An 18,530-nucleotide genomic window follows, 5' to 3' on the forward strand; every position below is an offset into this window, starting at 1 on the left:
AGTTTATCTCAGATAAGCATCCTTCAGATTATTGTTAGCCTCTGGTTAATTTCTAGAGTTCTGAAAAAGTTGATTTTGGTAATTTTGCCAGTATTTTTGTTGTTTTTATGGAACAATGGGTTTACAGAAGTCCTTCCTTACTCCACCATTCCAGAAGGTCCACCTCTGGTTAGAGATGTTTTCTAAAATCAGGCTTTCTAGATGTTACCTAATAAGGTAGTGTTCACTGGAATTAGGATTAAAGTACTGCCCTCACCTTGAAGCTGTCTGGGCATAGGGGGGAAAAATAAGACATTTAAAGGATGAAAATACTTGCTTTAGGATCCATAGAAATCATTCCAAAGTATTGGGGTGATTGGAGGCCCTTGGTAAAAGTCAGTGGGCTACCGGGACTCACACAAGGCCCCTGACAACCATTCCAGTGCACTCTTGGGAACTTCCCCTGGGAGATGCCTTTTCCAGGGAAAGGGAGCTGCCAGTTTTGAGTCCTTCTTCTAAGTTAGAAGTTGAATGTTCATGCTCCTCACAACTTACCAGCAAGAAAATTATCCTACTTCCATTTTACAGATGATGAAACTGAGGCTCACGGAGGTCAACTCACATGCCCCAGGTCAGAGCACTTGTGGGTGGTAGTGAGGGGATCCCACTCCAGAGTGAAAGATACTCAGGTGTCATCAAATCCAGCATCCTGACCTTCTGTTTGGCTATGCGATGGGCAGAAAGGCAGTGTGTGGAGGTGCCCATACTTTCCATTTGGGGCACAATAGGTTCGGATTCCCTTCACATAGCCCTCTCCCCCAGGAGTGGCCTCCACAGCAGCCACAGAGCAGGGGACAACAGCAAAGTCACAGGCACAGCCTGCCACTGCCAGACACCTGCTGAGGTGGGCTCCCAGGCCGGCCAACTCCTGCCTTCAGTCGGGGGTCAGAGCCTCCAGGCAGTGCCCCAAAATCAAGGGTGGCAAGGGCAAAAAGTCTGGTTGGGACTTAAGGACTGGGATTATAAGACTACCCCCTTCATGTGCTCAGTCCATGGGCCCGAGCGCCCAGAGGCCCACCCAGGCCACCTACAAGCCCAGATTGTGGGGAAGACAGAATGGCATGTCTCCAAATGCTGCATCATCCCGAACAGCCCACAGCTCCTACCCCACTCCCAGACTGCAAGCAAGAGGATACAGGCACTACAAAATCATTCAGGAAACACAAACTTTATTTTGATATCTCAGAAACTGGCAAGGAAATTACCACAGTGACAACAATACACTTTCATGTTTTAAATCATCTTCAGATGCATGGTCTCTCTGGGACCTCATGACCACCCTGAAAGGGAGGCAGGGCGGGTAACTACAGATCCACTCTACTGGGGACTTGTGGGAGGCAACCCAGCTTCCATGTGGAACTTTATACATTCCTTGCAGATACCTCCTGCTTCAAGTCCAGGTTCTTCAATACCCAGGAGGTACAGGGCTTCACCAGTCACAACAGATACCTGAACTCCCTCAGATGTAAAACTGATTGGGGATTGGGCCACCCCATCTCTAAACAAAGCACCCCATCAGAAGGATAGTTCTGGCATGGACAGAAAGAGGGGTTTTTCCTTGCTATCCTGTTGGGGAACAGGTGGAGGCAGCAGACAGCACCTCCCTGCCTTCCTCTCTCTGCCGCACCTCTTGCTAATCAGCCTTTCTGACTCTTCCCCAGAAAGAAGGTAGGGCTGCGCCTCCTTCCTCTCTGCAGGGGCCAGACTCAGATCTAGGCCCGGGCTGCCACTCATACTGGGAAGCCTCCTTTCATGAGCCTTCCTCAACCCTCAGAGCAGGAGGGCCCTGCGCAGGGGCTACCGCCTCTATCTGCCAGCGGCACACAGGGCACTTGGCCGTATCGCTGAAGACCCGCCAGGCACAGTATCTGCAGAAGTATGTGTGGCCGCAGGGCACAAGGCGGGTGTTGGCAGCGTGATAGAAGCAGATGGCACACTCCTCTCCTGGTGTGGCTGGAAGAGGGAGCAACACAGGTCAGGGCACATGGGGGAAGGGGTGGGCAACCCGCTCACAATGTGACCACAGAGAATGACAGAGAAACATGTAGCTATATTTTGAAGAATGTTACCTAGTGAGGAAATGCTTACAGTGTAATCAAGTGAAAAAAAGGGGGAAGAAAACCATTTTTTATATACATATATTCCAATTCCAATTTAGAGAGAAGGAAAACGCAGCACAGACAAGTCCCTATATACACACGTCTATATCGATGACCGAAAATACTGGGAGGAAATCCACCCAAGAGGTAATGGGTGCTTTTTTTTTAACTTTCCTCTTTATCCTTTAATCTTTTTTATTTTTTAGAGACAGTCTCACTCTGTCATCCAGGCTGGAGTGCAGTGGTGTGATCACAGCTCACTGCAGCCTCAGCCAGCTGGGCTCAAGCCATCCTTCCACCTCAGCCTCCCGAGTAGCTGGGGCCACAGACATGCACCACCACACTCAGCTAATTTTTGTACTTTTTGTAGAGACAGGGTTTCGCCATGTTGCCCAGGCTGGTCTCAAACTCCTGGGCCCAAGCGATCCTCCTGCCTCGGCCTCCCAAAGTATAGGGATTACAGGTGTGAGCCACTGCACCCCACCTATCCTTTCATCTTTATTTCCATTGGCAAAGCATTTACAATGAATGTGGATGATTTTTTAAAGCAAGAACAAAATAACACTGTCTGTTCATAAAAGTGCTCTTATAACTCACAGAGTAGGCAAATGCTCTCGAAGGCAGAGATGCCAGGTTGCTTTTAGGTTTCCAGTAGGCAGAGCCAAATCTTTTGGCCCAAAGCCTGTGAGAGACTTGAATGAACAACCAGTAGGACGTGGGGCTTCTCCCTCCACTCCCAGGTGCTGGATTCCCGGGGAGTCCCTGATTCTTGGGAAGGCACTCACCTTTGGGCTCAGGCACAGCCTTGTTGCTGAGGTCCCATGGCATGGGTGTTGGGAGCCGGCTGGCTGTGGGATCTGAGGCAGAGAGAGAAACTCAGGTCCAGGACGGCAAGCCCAGGTGCCCCCCCATCCCCGCCCCTGGCCCCGCAGCAAAGTGTCCGGTCTCCTTTCTTTCCTGGGTTGCAATGCTGAGCCCCCATCCCCAAATTTTAAGACCCTGTCCTGGCCATCCCTTCCCCAGCTTGACCCAGCTGAGAATCCGAGAATCCTTGGGGCTGGAGATTCCTCCTCCTGAGCCACCTTCCTTCAGGCCCCTCTTCTTTGCCCTCCAGCCGCTGCCTGAGTGGAGACCCTCGGCCGAGCCACATTCCCAACCCAGATGGGCATCAACATCTCCCAAGAGCCTGGACAAACACAGGTTCAGGGCTCCACTCCAGACCCAGCAAATCAGGTGCTTCAGGTGTGAGGCGCTGGCAGCTGTGACAAATGGTTTTAACAAATTTGCTGGCAGGAGGCGGGGAGTGGACCACCACCCGGCCCAGGAATGCCAATATTTCTTGTTATGGGTATTACTGCCTCTCTGTGCTCTCCTGAAATCCACCTTCTTCTGGGGTGGCTAAAGGGATGGCTCTCTTTTCCCCCCCACTGACTGAGAGGCTCAGCTTTCTCCCTGCAGGCACTCTCCATGCGCACCTCTAGCCTCACCTGTGTGTTCCCTTTGCTTGCCACCTTTGTATCTAGTGAACTCCTATTTAGGCTGCAAAGCCAGCCCAAATGTTTCTTCCTTTGTAAAAGGAGATGGACACTCTAACAGGTGTTTGAGTAACAGATGGTGTGAGTGCTGGTCCTATCTGCTTATCATTCTTTAGGGACAAGACTGCCCTCCCTACGACTGAGCCTTGTCTATCTGGCGTCTCCAGTGCCCATCTTCACAGCTAACACTGGGCAGGGGCTGATGGAATAACTGAATGTGAACGTTCTTCCTGTGGCTCTGGATCGGTGTGGGGTGCCACTGGAGCCCCCATCTCCCCACCTCCCCTGCGGGGTCCCCATGGTCGCCTCACCCAGCAGCTCGATGGCCTTAGTGGTCCCATACACGTCCATCACGGCCCAGAGCGGGGCGCCGACGGGCACGCCCTCACGCAGCAGGAGCCGGCAGCCGGCGTTGACCTTGGCGAAGAGGCAGCCGCGGCGGTCCACCCAGAAGCGGACCAAGTCCCCAGTGAGCGCGCAGCCCTCAGGCAGCACGGCCGCCCACGTCGGGCTCTGCTCCTCCAGGTCGGGGCACAGGAAGGGCGGCAGGCTGGGCACGGACACGCACGCGGGGTCCAGGCGCGTGAAGCCCACGCGGAGGCCGCCGCACCAGCCGCTCTCCTCCCGCAGCACTCGCAGCGCCACACGCTCGCCCAGGCGCACCGGCCGCTGGCTGAACACGATGCCGTCGTGGAACGTGGTGCGCCTGTGCGCGATGCAGCCACGCGTGTCCAGACGCACCTGTGCGCCCTTGGCCTCGGCATGGAAGCGAAGTGCCTCTCGGGGCGCCTTGGCGTCTGTGGGTTGAGGATGGGGAGTGTCAGTGCTAACCGGGTCTGGACCCACCAGCTCCCCAGAGAGCCCCCAGTATCCCAGAGTCCCTCACACCTGGGAGCACCTTGACCTTCCCCTAGGGACCATTTCCACCTCTCTCGGTTCCTGCAGGGTTGTTATGAAAACTATAGGAACTGATGTCTCTTTGTACTCTTCCTGCGACCAATCTAGTAATGGTTATTATTGTTCAAGAGAAAGAGTAGGGTTAGTCAGGCATAAATATCTATATGTTTGTTATACACGGTTTTTTTGTTTGTTTTGTTTTGTTTTGTTTTCAGAGATGAGTTCTTGCTGTGTTGCCCAGGCTGGTCTTGAACTCTTGGCCTCAAGTGATCCTCCTGCCTCTGCCTCCCAAAGCGCTAGGATTACAGGCATGAGCCACTGCGCCCAGCCCATACATTTATTCCATATGCACCTAAAAATGACGGAAGAGGAGACAGACAGATTTGCTGACTGTGGTCTGCTCCAGGAGGCTGTCTGCTATTCCCTCTCTGCTTGTCTCTCTTGTTTTCCCATGGGGAACTGCATCACTTGTGAAGACCATGGCCCCCAGCAATGGTGACATCCTTGTCCTGGGAGAGAAAGGGGCTTGGCTGCTCCCCACAGAGTATGGGTGCAGGCTGGAGAGGAAGTCCCAGGTTAGCCCCTCAGAATCCTGGGTGGGGTCCAGCCTGGCTCTGGCATGGGCTCTGAAACCAGGGGACTTCCCACAGGACTCTGCCTGGCAGTCAGAAGGGGAAAGCACCTCACTGAGCAGCCCTTCCTCTCCACTCAGCCTGCAGGAAGCTGGTGGGGCTTCCTACCCCAGAACTGCCTTAGCCGGCCTTGCCCCTCCCCTCCTGGTCCTGCTCTTTCTGGGCTGGGGGAGGGAGGCTGGCTGGCTGTTTGCTGTTGAAAATAAAAGGCGAATTCAATCAGAACTTAAGCCAGACCCCATCCTAAGGAGCAAGGCCACTCCCCTCCCAGATCAGGTCACACTCCCCTGGCAAGGCAGGCACTCTGACTACACACAGGTTTACACCCTCTAGCAGAGCCCAGGGCCAGGAGGCTCCATCTGGTCAGGCACCAGGACACGTTTGCGGTGACAGTGACTCTGTCCCTGACTTCCACAGGCCAAAGGTAAGCCTACCTGCAGTGACCTTTCCCCAGCATTAAAGACCAGTGCTCACCGTGGCCTTGGGACTCTCACAGAGCCCTGTGTATCCGCATTCACCCCTCGCCTGCGCCCCGCCCGTGCCTTCCCATGATGCACTCATCCCTTCCTGCGAATCCCAGCAGGCCTGCCCAGCTCCCTGTGCCTCAAGGCTGCACCTAGGCAAGGAGAAGTCCCAGAGCCAGCACACATGGAGAGCCGGAGCCATGCTGGGGTCCCTGACATCAGTGAACCTGACCTTGTGCCCATGGTTGAGGCTGCTCCATGGAGGGCAGTGGGATACCAGCTGGGCCATGGCTAACACCCCCATTCCAGGCCTGCCCTGCTGCTGGCCCAGGCAGGTCACTGTCCTCCAGGGCCCAGCCTCCTCACCTACAAACGGCAGTGAAGTGCATGTCCAGCAAGGCCAGGAGTCTCAGGACACCTGTCTGGAGTCTTGTTCACTGCCTACCTGGCCAGGCATGGGGCTGGGGGTGACAGGGCAAGTGGGGCCTCTTGGCACAACCAGCCACAATCTAGGAGGGCAGAGGCCAGCCCTTTGGCTGGGTCACTGCCCATCCCTGAGGTGGGAACTGGAGAGAAGCCCTGGAGTGGGCTTGGCAAGAGGCTGGAGCAATGGCCCTGGACGAGGGGCGGTGCCGGAGATGGTGGCCGGCATCCGAGCCCTCTCTACAAACTGCCACACCCAATCCTGCTGCCATCCTAAGAGGCAGACAGTGGGCAAGTGGCTAGCCCCACCCCACAGCAATCAGGGGCAGAACTAGGGTTGATGAGGAGTTCTCCCAGCCTCACCCAGTGCAGCCCCTACAGAGAAAGGGGAACCCCTGGGGTCAGGGGAGCTGGAGCCCTGTCATGCTCAGCACCATGGGCCTAGACGGGAACCAGCAGAGATGAGCCCGTGCTCATTGGGGATGGAGTTTCCACCCTACCCTCTAGGCAGGTGCCCGGGACAGAGGCTGGCTCCATGCAGGACTGGCTCTGGGGGCAAGGAGGGGTGGAGGACGGCAGGTGACCTCACTCCTCCATCCACTTCCTGGAGGGAGTAGGGAACTGGCTGGCTGGAGGCAGTCCAGGGAGGAGGGGAACTCCCCCGGAATGGCCTTGAGGGTGCATGAGGCCCTGGGAGCCCTTGAGAAGCAGGCCTTGCCCTGGAGGATAATTTGACAGTTTGCAAAGCTCCCCGATCCCTGCTTCAGGAGCCTTCTCAGCAGCCCTGTATGGAGCTAAGTCCTCATGTCACCAGGGCTGGTGGGTGCCGAGGGGACGTGGTGGCTGCACAGGTCATTCCGCAGCCGGGGCATCTAAGCAGCCTCCTCTGTGCTGCTCACTCAGGCTCCACCCCCTACCTCGGGCAGCCCCCTGGGACCTGGCAGGGCAGCAAAAGGTCCCTTAGGGCACAGCCTCTCATCTATGAAGACTCTTGGTCTGTCTGCATGGTCATGTCAGCTATTCACTGTGCACCACCAAGGCTGAGTGGGGCCGAAACCCACCCCCGACCCACCAGCCTGGCAAGGGCCCACAGGACCGTGTCCACCGACTTCATACAGGGCTCTGTGCCTGGGTCTGGAGCAGGGTCGGGGTGGCCTGACGGGTGTGATCACCACCTCCACTCCACCTGCCTCCTCCCACGAGGCCTGCAGGGGTCCTCCCACACTTTGACCCAGGCAGCCCGGGACACCCCACTCCCAGGGTGGGGAGTGGCAGAGGTGGGCATAGGCCACATGTGGCTCTCCAAGCAGACCTGTCCCCAGTGGCTGGGCTGGCACAGGGTTCAGATCATCCTGGTGCCCAAGCACCCTCACACCTAGAGGCAGCCGCTCTTTCTATGGGTCCTGTTTGCAGGCAGGACCCTGAGCTCAGAGAAGCTGAGTGCCCTGCCCATGGGCGATCGCTCCAATTACTCCACCTGCCCCGGGGTCCCCACTGCTGAGGGGGTGGACTGCCTGCGGGCTAAGCAGGGCCTCTGGGGTGTCTCTACTCCAGGACAGGTAGAGTCAGATTCCAGATTCTCTAAGATCTTGGAATCTGAGTGGGGCAGGGGCGGCCCCTTGCTCAGCAAGAGCCTCTAGGGATCTCCATCCTCACCACTCCTCCAGGTGTCAAGCCTTTCAGGGTGTCAGGCACCCATAAGCACTTTGCAGCCTCTTTTTCTCCTCATCCCGCCTCGGGGAAGCCCTCAGAGCTTGAGAAGGCTGTGCTAGTCATCTGTGTTTTTGCAGCCAGAAAGTGGGGGATCCCAGCGCTGCTCCTGGCTGCTTCACTCTCATGCCACCTCCTTTAAGGCCCATCATTTCCCTGCCAAACACCATTACTGTGACAGCAGCAGTGGCTCTTGGCACAGCCAACTACTAGTCTGTGAGCCCATGGTGCCCACCAGGGGACAGAGGACCCTGAGCCCAGGCTCCCAGCTCTTTACCTGGGAGGGTAGGTCCAGAGATGCACAACCCCAATAGCTGGTGCTGAAAGACCAGGTCCTCAAGGCCGGGTGCGGTGGCTCACGCCTGTAATCCCAGCACTTTGGGAGGCCGAGGCGGGTGGATCACGAGGTCAGGAGATCGCGACCAACCTGGCTAACATGGTGAAACCCCTTCTGTACTAAAAATACAAAACAAAATTAGCCGGGTGTGGTGGCGGGCGCCTGTAGTCCCAGCTACTCGGGAGGCTGAGGCAGGAGAATGGCGTGAACCCAGGAGGCAGAGCTTGCAGTGAGCTGAGATCACGCCACTGCACTCCAGCCTGGGCAACAGAGCGAGACTCCGTCTCAAAAAAAAAAAAAAAAAAAAAAAGACCAGGTCCTCTATCTCCCCCACATATGGCTCTTCCACTACGGGACACCTGTGGCCTCAGGTGAGGCTTGCAGAGAACCTTTGTGCCTATCACTCTTTTGATTTGTGCGTTTGATTTTATAAAGATCCCTGTAAGCCAGCAGGCATCGTCCCTGGCCTGGAGATGTAGAAACTGAGGCCCAGGGACAAAGTGACTTACCCAAGGTCCCATAGCTCAACTTGGCAGAACTGGGACCCCACCAGCCCCCTAAACTTTACACTGACCACATCTCTACTCCAGCAATGACACAGAGCACCCTCTGCTACCTGTACCCCCAGTCCAGAGACCAAGCTCCAGGCTTGCAGGAGGTCTACTTACTGGCCTCGAAGCAGAGCTGGGCACCCATCAGTCTAAGGTCCTCGGGCACAGGTCCCCAGGTCTAGAAGGAACTGCCTGGAGAAGGCCAGTGGACAGGTTACCAAAGATTCAGCAGGTCTGCTTTTTATGGGCCAGAGATCACGTTACAAAGTTGATGATTAATTCAATGGTGCTGTCATGTGTTACTATATCCAGGGGATTTCCCAGTGATTTCTCCTGACTCGCAGACTGACCTGCTGGAGCTGGCCGGCCTAAGAGAAGGAAACAGGAATGGGGGTCTGGCCTGGGTAGGTCTTACGGTAGCCTTCTTTCTCACTTCTGACCAATCTCAAGCTGGCTGTGCATTGTAATGGTCCAAGCATGTTAATAAATACCTATGTCCAGCCCCGCCCCCAAAGACTCCGGTTCCACTGGCCTAGGGTGGAACCCAGGCATCAGGAGTTTACAGAGCAACGCAGATGATTCTAATGTACAGCCAGGATGGAGATTCACTGCAGCAGACCCTGGCACACAGAAGGAACTCAATCTGTGTTGCTGAAGCAGATTGAATTGCATTTGCTGTATCCCAGGACCTGGGAAATTGTGCACCTCCAACAGAAAGGAGGGGTAAAGCAGACAGAAGAGGAGAGGAGCTGATGGTCCCTCCAGCCTTTCTCACTGGAATTTCTGGGAATTCCACTTTCCCAGAACTGCCACAAAATGCAAATAGCCCTACAGACAGTCACTGCAAAGGTCTAGCTCCCAATGTGTTAGCACTGGAAAAGAAGCCAAAGGTATTCTAGCCCGTCAATATTTATTTCGGTTAGGAAAACTGAGGATCATGGAGGGAAGGTGGCTTACTCTAACCTAGTGCTCCTCACTCACATTGCAACATACTCTCAAATCTCCTGGGGATCTTGTTAAAATGCAGATTGACTCAGAAAGCCTGAGGCCCTACCTGAGATAAGTGGACCCGACTTTTTTTTTTGAGACAGGGTCTCACTGTCATTCAGGCTAGAGTGCAGTGGTGTGATCATGGCTCACTACAACCTCAAACTCCCAAGCTCAATTGATCCTCCCACCTCAGCCTCCTGAGTAGCTGGGACCACAGGTGCATTCCACCATGCTCAGCTAATATTTCTGATATTGTGAAGACAGGTCTAGCTATGTGGCCCAGGCTGGTCTCAAACTTCTGGCCTCAAGCAGTCCCCCCATCTTGGCATCCCCAGGTGCTGAGATTACAGGCATGAGCCACCGCACCTGGCCAAGTGGACCCCACTTTCGGGGGCAAGGGCCTGGTGGGTTTGGAGCCTTGTGAGTGCCCTGACCCTCAACCTGTGGGCTAAGCCCCTCCCAAGACCCCAGATCAAGGCCACAATCAGTGACTGCTCGGCTAAGGGATGGCTAGTGCCAGGTACGTCTCCACCTTAGTGCAGGCTGCCTTGGGTGGTTCCCCAGAGCGCTGCAGCCATGCATCTTGTTAATAAATCACACTCTCATGAGAGGTATGTATGGCATCTTATTAGGGAAGTCAACTCTGAGCCTCAGACTGTCTGGAAAATTACCTGGCAAGCTATGGCCCTCAGGCCACCCAAAGCCAGCAGGCTGGGGTGGTATAGTTGCATCAGTGGGACCTTGGGCCATGAGGCAGCTGGGGGGCAGAGGAGGTCATTCTGAGGAGCTAAAAAACCTGCCTAAAGCCTCCCGTCCAGGGTACAGGCATACCCGCCACACACTCTGTGTTTGTTTATTGAACAAACTGCCAGGGTTCAGGACATGCCACCCCAAAATATGGCACTTTGGCATTTAAGAAAACAGCAGAAGCAGGAAGGCCTCGCTCACCTTCCCTTTGCCCGAATCCCCTGAAGTAGGGCCATGAGGCCATAAGACCCATCCTTACCTCTGAAGACACAGGGACAGAGAGAAGAATCTGAACAGGCTGGCCGACTCTCCCCGGTTTATTACCCCTTCCCCCTTTAGCCAATCACTTCTCCACGATGCCCACTCTTCATGAAACCAACGCATAAAAATACATGTCCCCATTTCTTTGGGTCTTCATTTCCAAAGGCCCCTGTGTCATGTAAAATTTACATGAAATAAATTTGTGTGCTTTTCTCTTGTTGACCTGTCTTTTGTTATAGGTGTCCTAGCCATGAACCGAGCAATGGGTGGGGAAAGATTTTACTTTTGTACTTTTCCTCCCCTGCAGAATGCTACCGTTTTTGTTGTTGTTGTTGTTGTTTTTGAGAGGGAGTCTCGCTCTGTGGCCCAGACTGGAGTGCAGTGGCACGATCTCGGCTCACTGCAACCTCTGCCTCCCAGGTTCAAGCAACTCTCCTGCCTCAGCCTCCCAAGTAGCTGGGACTGTGGCGCTCTCCATGATGCCCAGTTAATTTTTGTATTTTTAGTAGAGATGAGGTTTCACCATGTTGGCCAGGATGGTCTCGATCTACTGACCTCGTGATCCACCCGCCTCGGCCTCCCAAAGTGCTGGGATTACAGGCGTGAGCCACCGCTCCTGGCCCGGAATGCTACCGTTCTAAGTCCAGAACTTACCTGACAGTCCTCATGGCAACTCCTCAAAAAGGTCCTGTTTATTGTAATCATTTCCATTATACACGTGGGGAAACTGAGGCACACGACAGTTACGCAGCTTGTTCAGCTCACTAGGCATGACGTGACAGGCTGGGATTGGCCCAGGTATCGTGGCTGGAGACCGTCTGCCTTGCGCCCCTCCACGGCCACTCGCCGCGGAGACTCCGCCCCTTGGAAGTGCCCCCTAATTAGGAATATCTCCTCCACTGGACTGCGCGGGCACAGAGCAGGAGATTTGTAGATAGGCCTAACTTGCTGCTGAGTGTCAGGTTGAGGCTGCCCCGCAGTAGATGTCACCCGCCAGCCCCGCTGCAAACCTTTGCTCTGAGAGGGGCGGGCCCGTGCCCTCAAGCGCGGGGCGGTCTCCGCTGTGCAGAGACTGAGGCGGCCCCTGCTGGCGGCGGTCAGTACTGCAGGAGGCGCCGAGGGCCCGGGAGCCCCCAAAGCCGGGAGGGGCGCCCCAGAGGGAGGTGAGCGGCGCCGAGGCTCACTATACCGCAGCTCCCACACACCCGTCTCCCAGGGTGGGTGGTAGCCTCACTGGGACCCCTCTGTTGCAGTCGGCCTCTCTTGCCCAGAGCCCCATCACTACACATGTCTTCACGCAGGTTATCTCTCAAGACTCAACCCGCGCTCCGGGAAGAGCCTGGCACACGAGGAAGCCACTGCTGCCCCGCGCCCACTCCAGCGTGCGGCCCAGCGGGACCGGGAGCCCAGCCCAACCTGGGGCACTGTCAGGCAGCCCGGTCCCTCGTGGGCCCTGCCATTAAGGCCCAGGGACGCCTACCTATGACACTTGCCAGCCCTCATCCGTTCCCCGCCGGGCCAAAATCTCAGAGGGCAGGGGCTGCCCTGCCTAGAAACCAGCCCCAGAACATCAGGGCCGCGGGCGCTGTGGGCGGTCGGCCAGGGCGCGCAGGGGCCAAACAGGGCAGCGTTGGGAGCTTTTGCACAAGGCACCCCTCTGCCAGCCTCATGGCCCAGCCATGCCACCCCCGTGAACCAAGTGTGCTGGCCCACAGCAGCGCTCTGCACAACAGCCCCAGCCTGGAAACAAGCGAATGTCCACTGCTGTCCACCTCACACTCAGCTGGGGGAGCTGAACTGCTCAGATCCCCGGGAATGCAGGGCCCATTCCCCGGAGGCCAAGGCCAGTGTCCCACCCACACCCAGTCCAGGCCTATGCTTCCCCGGGTCTGCCGCCTAAGCAGCCCTGTCCCTGATCTCTGTCTCAGAGGCTGCTCCCGGCCCAGCTTCCCACAACCATCAGCAGGACCTAAACTGCCACATATGCGCGCCATGGAATACTGTGCCAATGACAACAAATTACTGCTACCTGCAACGACGAGGATAAACCTCACAGCCGTGAGGCTGATGTAAGGGAAGACCCAAAGAGCACCGCGTGCTGCCATTCATAGGAAGTTCAGGCAAAACCCATCCGTGGTGTTCGAAGCAGGACAAGGCTGCCTTTGGGAGGTAGTGATCGGCAGGGACACGGGAAGCCTCTGGGGAGCTGGAAACGTCCTGCACCTTGATCGTGGTCACACAGGTGTGTAGATGTACAAAAAAACCCTTCCAATCGGACCCTCAAATCATACATAAATTGCGTCTTCGTGTTATGTTGGCTAAGCCCTTCCAGCCCTAACAATGTCGTTCTGGCGGAGCTGGTGAGTCAGGGAGCATCCACGCCGCCTGGGAAGACCGGCTCTGGAGGCTGGAGGGCTTGACCAGCACTGCCACCCGGTGGCCGGCAGCGGAACTGACCACAGGCCTGGTGCCCTGGAGGGAATGGGCCACAAACGCTCCGCCAGGACTGCACCTGTGTCCTAGGCGCCGCCCTCAGCCACCAAGTCGGCCTGCCTCTCGAGCACCCAACAACTCCAACAAGCCCTCTGGACCAATAGCTGCAGCCCCCACGGGGCCTTGGGGGTGGGAGGGAGGAGAGGGAGGCCAGCCTGTAGCACAGTACCAGCCCAGAGTTATTAACAGGTCTGTGCTGTCACTTCCGCTCTGCTGCGGTCCTCCTGGGTCCTGATTCTGCCGAGCGCCTCCACAGCCTTCCTCCCTCCTGGTTCTCCCCGCCAGCAGCCAGCACGGGAGCGCCCACTGGGCATGAATGGGGAGCCTGCCAGAGAGGGGAGCTGGGGGAGAGAGGCACAGCTTCCAGGCCTGGCGTGGCTGCTCATGCCTGTGCGTGAGGGAAGGGTCAAGGGAAAGGTGTGCCCTCTCTTCTTTTGGTTTCTTGTTTTCCTTTTTCCCGTGCCCCCTCACCCCATACACAACTGTCAGGGTGTCTGTCCTGGAAAGACACCTGGTACCTGCCCTGGTGGTGCCTGCCCTGTGTGGGGTGTGTGTATGCGTGTGCATGCGTGTGCATGTGTGCATGCATGTGTGTTCAACAGGAATTGATTTAGTGCCTGCTATGTGCCAAGCACTGTCCCAGTTCTGGGTAACCAGAGATTGAAGGAAACCCAATCCTCATCCTTCAGCCACTTTGTGCATGCCCTGGAATTTAGGTAAGTGCTACAAGAGGGCCAAACTGAGGGCTGGGAAAACCAGCGGTGTCGAGGGGTTGTTATGCCCAGGGAATGGGTGAAGGTTTTGTGGAAGAAGAGTTATTAAAATTGTGCCCTGAAAGGTAAATAGGATTTCAACAGCCAAGAAAGGAATGAAAGGCATTTCAGGGAGAAGGAATACACACACAAAAGCATAGGAAAGGAGACATGATCTGTGCTGTATGGTTGTATCAGGTAGGATTAGGATTGCTTGCATGCAAGAGAATGTCCAAAAGGACAGTGGCTTGAGCAAGGCATGTTCATTTCTTTTTCACATAAAATAAGCTGAAGACAGGCAGTCCAGCTAGTCATGACACCTCTGCAGCCATAGGGGACCCAGGCTTTCTCCGCTGTTCAGCTCCACCATTCTAGCACTGGCCTCAAGGTCACGTCATGTACCAAAAGTGCTGCTGGAACTCCAGCCAGTACATCAGAGCTCCAAGCATCAGGGAAGAGAAAGACTCAAATGGGCACTCCTCTAAGCTAAGCCAAGCCAGCTTGCAATTAAGCTGATTTACTGGAGGGCCTATGTAACGTTTTCATTTATAGCTCATTGGCCAGAACCTTGTCACATGGCCACAGCTAGCTGCAAGGGAAACTGAGAAATGTGGTCTTTATCGGGAAGAGCAGCTAAAAATTGGGGTCTGTCACTAAGGAAGAAGGAGAAACTGGATGTTGGTGGGAAGCCAGCACTGCCTAGCCCAGGGTAGAGTGGAGCAGTGGTCCTTCAACTTGTGGGGAGGGGGGCAGGAAGGCAGCCTGATCACAGGGGCCGTGCCGTGGAGGGGCTGGACTCTTCCATAGCAAATAGGGGATTGCTGAAAGATTCTCAGCAGGAGCCAAGGGTTGAGGAACCTGGAACTGTCTGCTTGGGGGAAAGAACCATTGGGCAGAAAATGGAAGCATGCAAGGAGGGGAAGGGAACTGTGAGAAGTTAATAAGGGCACGAGGCAGGGAAGGGCACCCCAGGAGAGCCAAGGCTAAGCCTGGCAACAGTGGGAGGTGATGCCAGGGCCCCGGGGAGGGACACAGATCTACTGAGGGTAGTCTGGGAGGAACACAGTACTAGCAGATAGCTGTGTCTGAGGCAGCTGTTAACCATCAAGTCAGGTGGCTCAAAGGCAACTGAGAATCCAAGTGGAAGCTCAGGTGAGATGACAGCACTGGGAACATAGATGAAGCGATCAGTCATACAGTGGTGGATGGGATCAGCCAGGCAGGGATCCAGTCGTTCAGCTGGAGGACTCTGATGGATCTTTCGGAGTTACTGGGGAAGGAGAACAATGGAGTGACCAACTGCATAAATTTTGAAGCCAGAGCTGGGTTCAAATCCAGACTTTAACAGCCATAAGCCTGTGGGCTGGCTAACAACACTTTCTAAGCCTTAATTTTCTCATGTGCAAAATGGAAATAAAGAGGCCTTCTGTGCGGGCTGATAGGAGGGCTGAATGAGTAATGAGTAGCACATTCCCACACAGGGAACTGCACTAACCAGTAAATACCTGCTCTTACCAGTAAACCACCCCCCCGCCCCCCACTTACTGAAGAGGACATCAGTGCCTTTCTTGGGGCCATTCACTGTGCCCGACAGTCCTCTCACTGCAAGGTGGGGCCCGTGGAGCCCTGTGTGGGATCGCTCAGGTGAGGTCACAAGCACTGTGCCTCTCCAGGACCCTGAGACCTCCAACCCAGCATGGCTAGGGCAGCCCCTGGCTCTGCCAAACCTCCTGGACAGGGGCATCTGCAGCCCCAGACAGGTGGGTCAAGAGAAGTGTTATGCCTCCTGCCAGCAGGGAAAAGGGGCCAGAGTAGGCCATGGCATGCCCCTTTCCTTAAAGGGCACAGCCAGAAAGAGCACACATGGCCCAAACTTCAGCTTGAATCCCATTGACCAAAGCTTAGTTGTGTGGCCACATCCAGCTGCAAGGAACTGGGAAGTGTAGGCTTCATTCTGGGCAATCATGTGCCCAGCTAGACAGAAATTGGAGTGTTCCAATATTACAATAGAGAAGGAGAGAATGGATATTGAGGGAAAACAGCAGCCATAGGGTGCAGGGAAAGAGAGAGGGCATGGCACCCTGGGTGCAGGGTGGTGGGAGGCTCTGAGCGCTGGGAGACCCCATGCCCCTGGGACTCACATGTGCTGCATGCACATCGCCTGGCACCCAGCCCGCAGGAACTCAGCTGTGGGGGCACTGTGGGTGGGTGGGCAGGGGAGCTGTTGTAGCTGAGAACCACCTCTACTGGCCAGAAGGACAAATCACCAACTTCTCCAGTAGAATTTTTCCAGATCCCTGGAGTTCCTTCTGGTCCCTCACCAAAGCCAAAATAGCGCAGAGAGGAAGAAAATATCTTCCTTCCACTCCTCTGAGTTTTTGCCCATTGTCAAAGCTCATTGCAGCCATTGTCATTGTCTCTACTGCCCAGGCCTTGGGCACAGTCCATCCTCCACAGGCAGGGATTGACCATTCCCTAGGTCTCCTGACACCCCCTCCACCCTGGCAGAGCTAGGGCCAAATGTTCCCTGCCAGAGTGGAGTGGACTCCAGCCCATTCTGTCTTAAGGAGCCTCTCCTCTCCCAACTTGAGCTTTTTTTTTTTTTTTTTTTTTTTGACGAGGTCTAGCTCTGTCAAGAGGGTGGAGTACAGTGGCACGATCTCGGCTCACTGCAGCCTCTGCCTCCCGGGTTCAAGCAATCCTCCCACCTCAGCCTCCCGAGTAGCTGGGATTACAGGGGCATGCCGCCATGCCAGGCTAATTTTTGCAATTTTAGTAGAGATGGGGTTTCACCACGTTGGCCAGGCTGGTCTCGAACTCCTGACCTCAGGTTATCTGCCTGCCTTGGCCTCCCAAAGTGCTGATATTACAGGCGTGAGCCACCATGCCCAGCCCCCGACTTGAGCTTTGAGAAGCAAGCTAAGAGTCAACCCTTCCCTCTGAAGCGAAGCACTACCTCTGCCCTGACTGGGCTGCTGCTGCCTCTCTCTGCTCCTCCTTGTGTGTGAAGATATTCGGTGGAGGGAAGAAAGACAGGGTCCTCAAATCCTGTCAGTGTATCTGAGTTGTCTTGGCTTGGGTTAGGCTCTGTGTCTTCCAGTAGCTAACCTGGAGCATGGGTCCCCGGCGCCACACGTGCATGCACACCGTCCTTATGCTTTCATTCCTTTCATTGTGACTGGACGAGTACTTACCTTCTGGTTTGTGCCTTCATGGGGGACTTTAGTGTCTCATCAATCCTTTCAGCCATACAGTCAGCACACACTGGGGGCCCATGATGTGCTGAGCCTTTGCAAGTGCCATGAAATAGCCTAGCACAGTCAGCAGCACAGAGTGGGGACTCTACCACCCACTGGCTGTGGGACTGGGGTGTATTACAGATGGGGACTGGGGCTCAGAAAGACTGAGTGACTCGTATAGGTCAAACCAGGACTGACCCCAAAGTTCTCCACCGTTTTGTTAATTCTAAAACAAAGATGAGGCCGAGCATAGTGGCTCATGCCTGTAATCCCAGCACTTTGGGAGGCGCCAGGTGGGTGGATTGCTTGAGGCCAGGAATTTGAGACCAGCCTGGACAACAGGGCAAAACCCTGTCTCTACAAAAAAATACAAAGATTAGCTGGGTGTGATGGTGGCACACGCCTGTAACGCCAGCTACTCGGGAGGCTGAGACACGAGAATCGCTAGAACCCAGGAGGCAGAGGCTACAGGGAGCCAAGTTCATGCGGCTGCACTCCAGCTTGGGTGACAGAGCAAGACTCCATTTCAAAAATAAAATAAAAAATAAGGCCAGGCACAGTGGCTCAGGCCTGCAATCCCAGCACTTTGGGAGGCTGAGGCAGGCGGATCACCTGAGGTCGGGAGTTTGAGACCAGACTGGCCAACATGGCAAAAACCCATCTCTACTAAAAACATAAAAATTAGCCTGGCTTGATGGTGCACACCTGTAATCCCAGCTACTCAGGAGGCTGAGCAGGAGAATCACTTGAAACCTGGGAGGCAGAAGTTGCAGTGAGCCAAGATCAGGCCACTGCACTCCAGCCTGGGTGACAGAGACTCCATCTCAAAAAAAATAAAAATAAAAATAAAAATAAAAATAAAATAAAGATCAGGGTCCTGAGTGAAATCTCACATGTCCTTTGAAAATGTGCAAAAGTACAGTACATGTACTGGGCGACATGTATCATTTTTAAGCCACACTTCTTTGTTCTCAGGTTTGTTCTGGATCATCCAGGTGGCTAAGTCAGAGGCTACTGGGTGGGTGTGGGGCTGCAGGCTTTGGATGGAACTGCAGACATAGCATGCATGTTTGCATGAGTCACTCCGCGTGGAGGCTGCAGGTGAGTGCATTAGCTGAGGGTAGTGTGCTATTTATTTGAGCCGAAGTAAGGAGACTGCCTGGATCCTCTGGATCCTCTTTCTCCATTCAGAGAGAAGCCCACTGCCTCCTGCTCAAGGGCTCCAGGGACTCCAGGGTGGATGGGGTAAGCAAGGCTCCATTTTCATGCTGCCGATAAAGACATACCCGAGACTGGACAATTTCCAAAAGAAAGAGGTTTATTGGACTTACGGTTCCACATGGCTGGGGAGGCCTCACAAT

At 55.1% G+C, this 18,530-nt stretch overlaps 1 protein-coding gene across 6 annotated transcripts, besides 4 other annotated features; it reads right to left on the reverse strand.

Annotated features, from left to right (window-relative positions):
- Positions 399–1,399: an enhancer, noted in NCBI's record as "H3K4me1 hESC enhancer chr2:97162590-97163590 (GRCh37/hg19 assembly coordinates)". NCBI's record gives its function as "activates a minimal SCP1, AML or CMV promoter by ChIP-STARR-seq in naive H9 embryonic stem cells {active_cell/tissue: H9 hESC(naive)}" and the evidence as "EXISTENCE:reporter gene assay evidence [ECO:0000049][PMID:30033119]".
- NEURL3 (neuralized E3 ubiquitin protein ligase 3) lies at positions 1,192–11,655 on the reverse strand. Of its 6 annotated transcripts, NM_001285486.2 has the most exons (6): positions 8,805–8,903; positions 8,077–8,255; positions 3,985–4,470; positions 2,924–2,995; positions 2,736–2,820; positions 1,192–1,992 (listed from the first exon to the last, which is right to left on the reverse strand). In NM_001285486.2, exons 3-6 carry the CDS (start codon positions 4,022–4,024, stop codon positions 1,803–1,805), a joined length of 387 nt encoding a protein of 128 aa, NP_001272415.1. In that variant the 5' UTR covers positions 4,025–4,470; positions 8,077–8,255; positions 8,805–8,903; the 3' UTR covers positions 1,192–1,802. The 6 variants fall into 6 exon arrangements, 5 of the variants coding, with proteins under 5 accessions (NP_001272415.1, XP_011510481.1, XP_011510480.1 ...); XM_011512179.3 differs by lacking the exons at positions 2,736–2,820; positions 8,077–8,255 and adding an exon at positions 11,340–11,655 and having other exon boundaries at positions 8,805–8,879; XM_011512178.3 differs by lacking the exons at positions 2,736–2,820; positions 8,077–8,255 and adding an exon at positions 11,340–11,655 and having other exon boundaries at positions 8,805–9,055.
- Positions 1,400–2,399: an enhancer, noted in NCBI's record as "H3K4me1 hESC enhancer chr2:97163591-97164590 (GRCh37/hg19 assembly coordinates)". NCBI's record gives its function as "activates a minimal SCP1, AML or CMV promoter by ChIP-STARR-seq in naive H9 embryonic stem cells {active_cell/tissue: H9 hESC(naive)}" and the evidence as "EXISTENCE:reporter gene assay evidence [ECO:0000049][PMID:30033119]".
- Positions 5,058–5,107: an enhancer, noted in NCBI's record as "active region_16218". NCBI's record gives its function as "activates an Ori minimal core promoter by ATAC-STARR-seq in GM12878 lymphoblastoid cells {active_cell/tissue: GM12878}" and the evidence as "EXISTENCE:reporter gene assay evidence [ECO:0000049][PMID:35858748]".
- Positions 11,662–12,001: a silencer, noted in NCBI's record as "silent region_11767". NCBI's record gives its function as "represses an Ori minimal core promoter by ATAC-STARR-seq in GM12878 lymphoblastoid cells {active_cell/tissue: GM12878}" and the evidence as "EXISTENCE:reporter gene assay evidence [ECO:0000049][PMID:35858748]".

Source organism: Homo sapiens, chromosome 2 (genome assembly GCF_000001405.40).
Source record: "Homo sapiens chromosome 2, GRCh38.p14 Primary Assembly".
In the NCBI taxonomy this organism is placed as follows: Eukaryota; Metazoa; Chordata; class Mammalia; order Primates; family Hominidae; genus Homo; species Homo sapiens.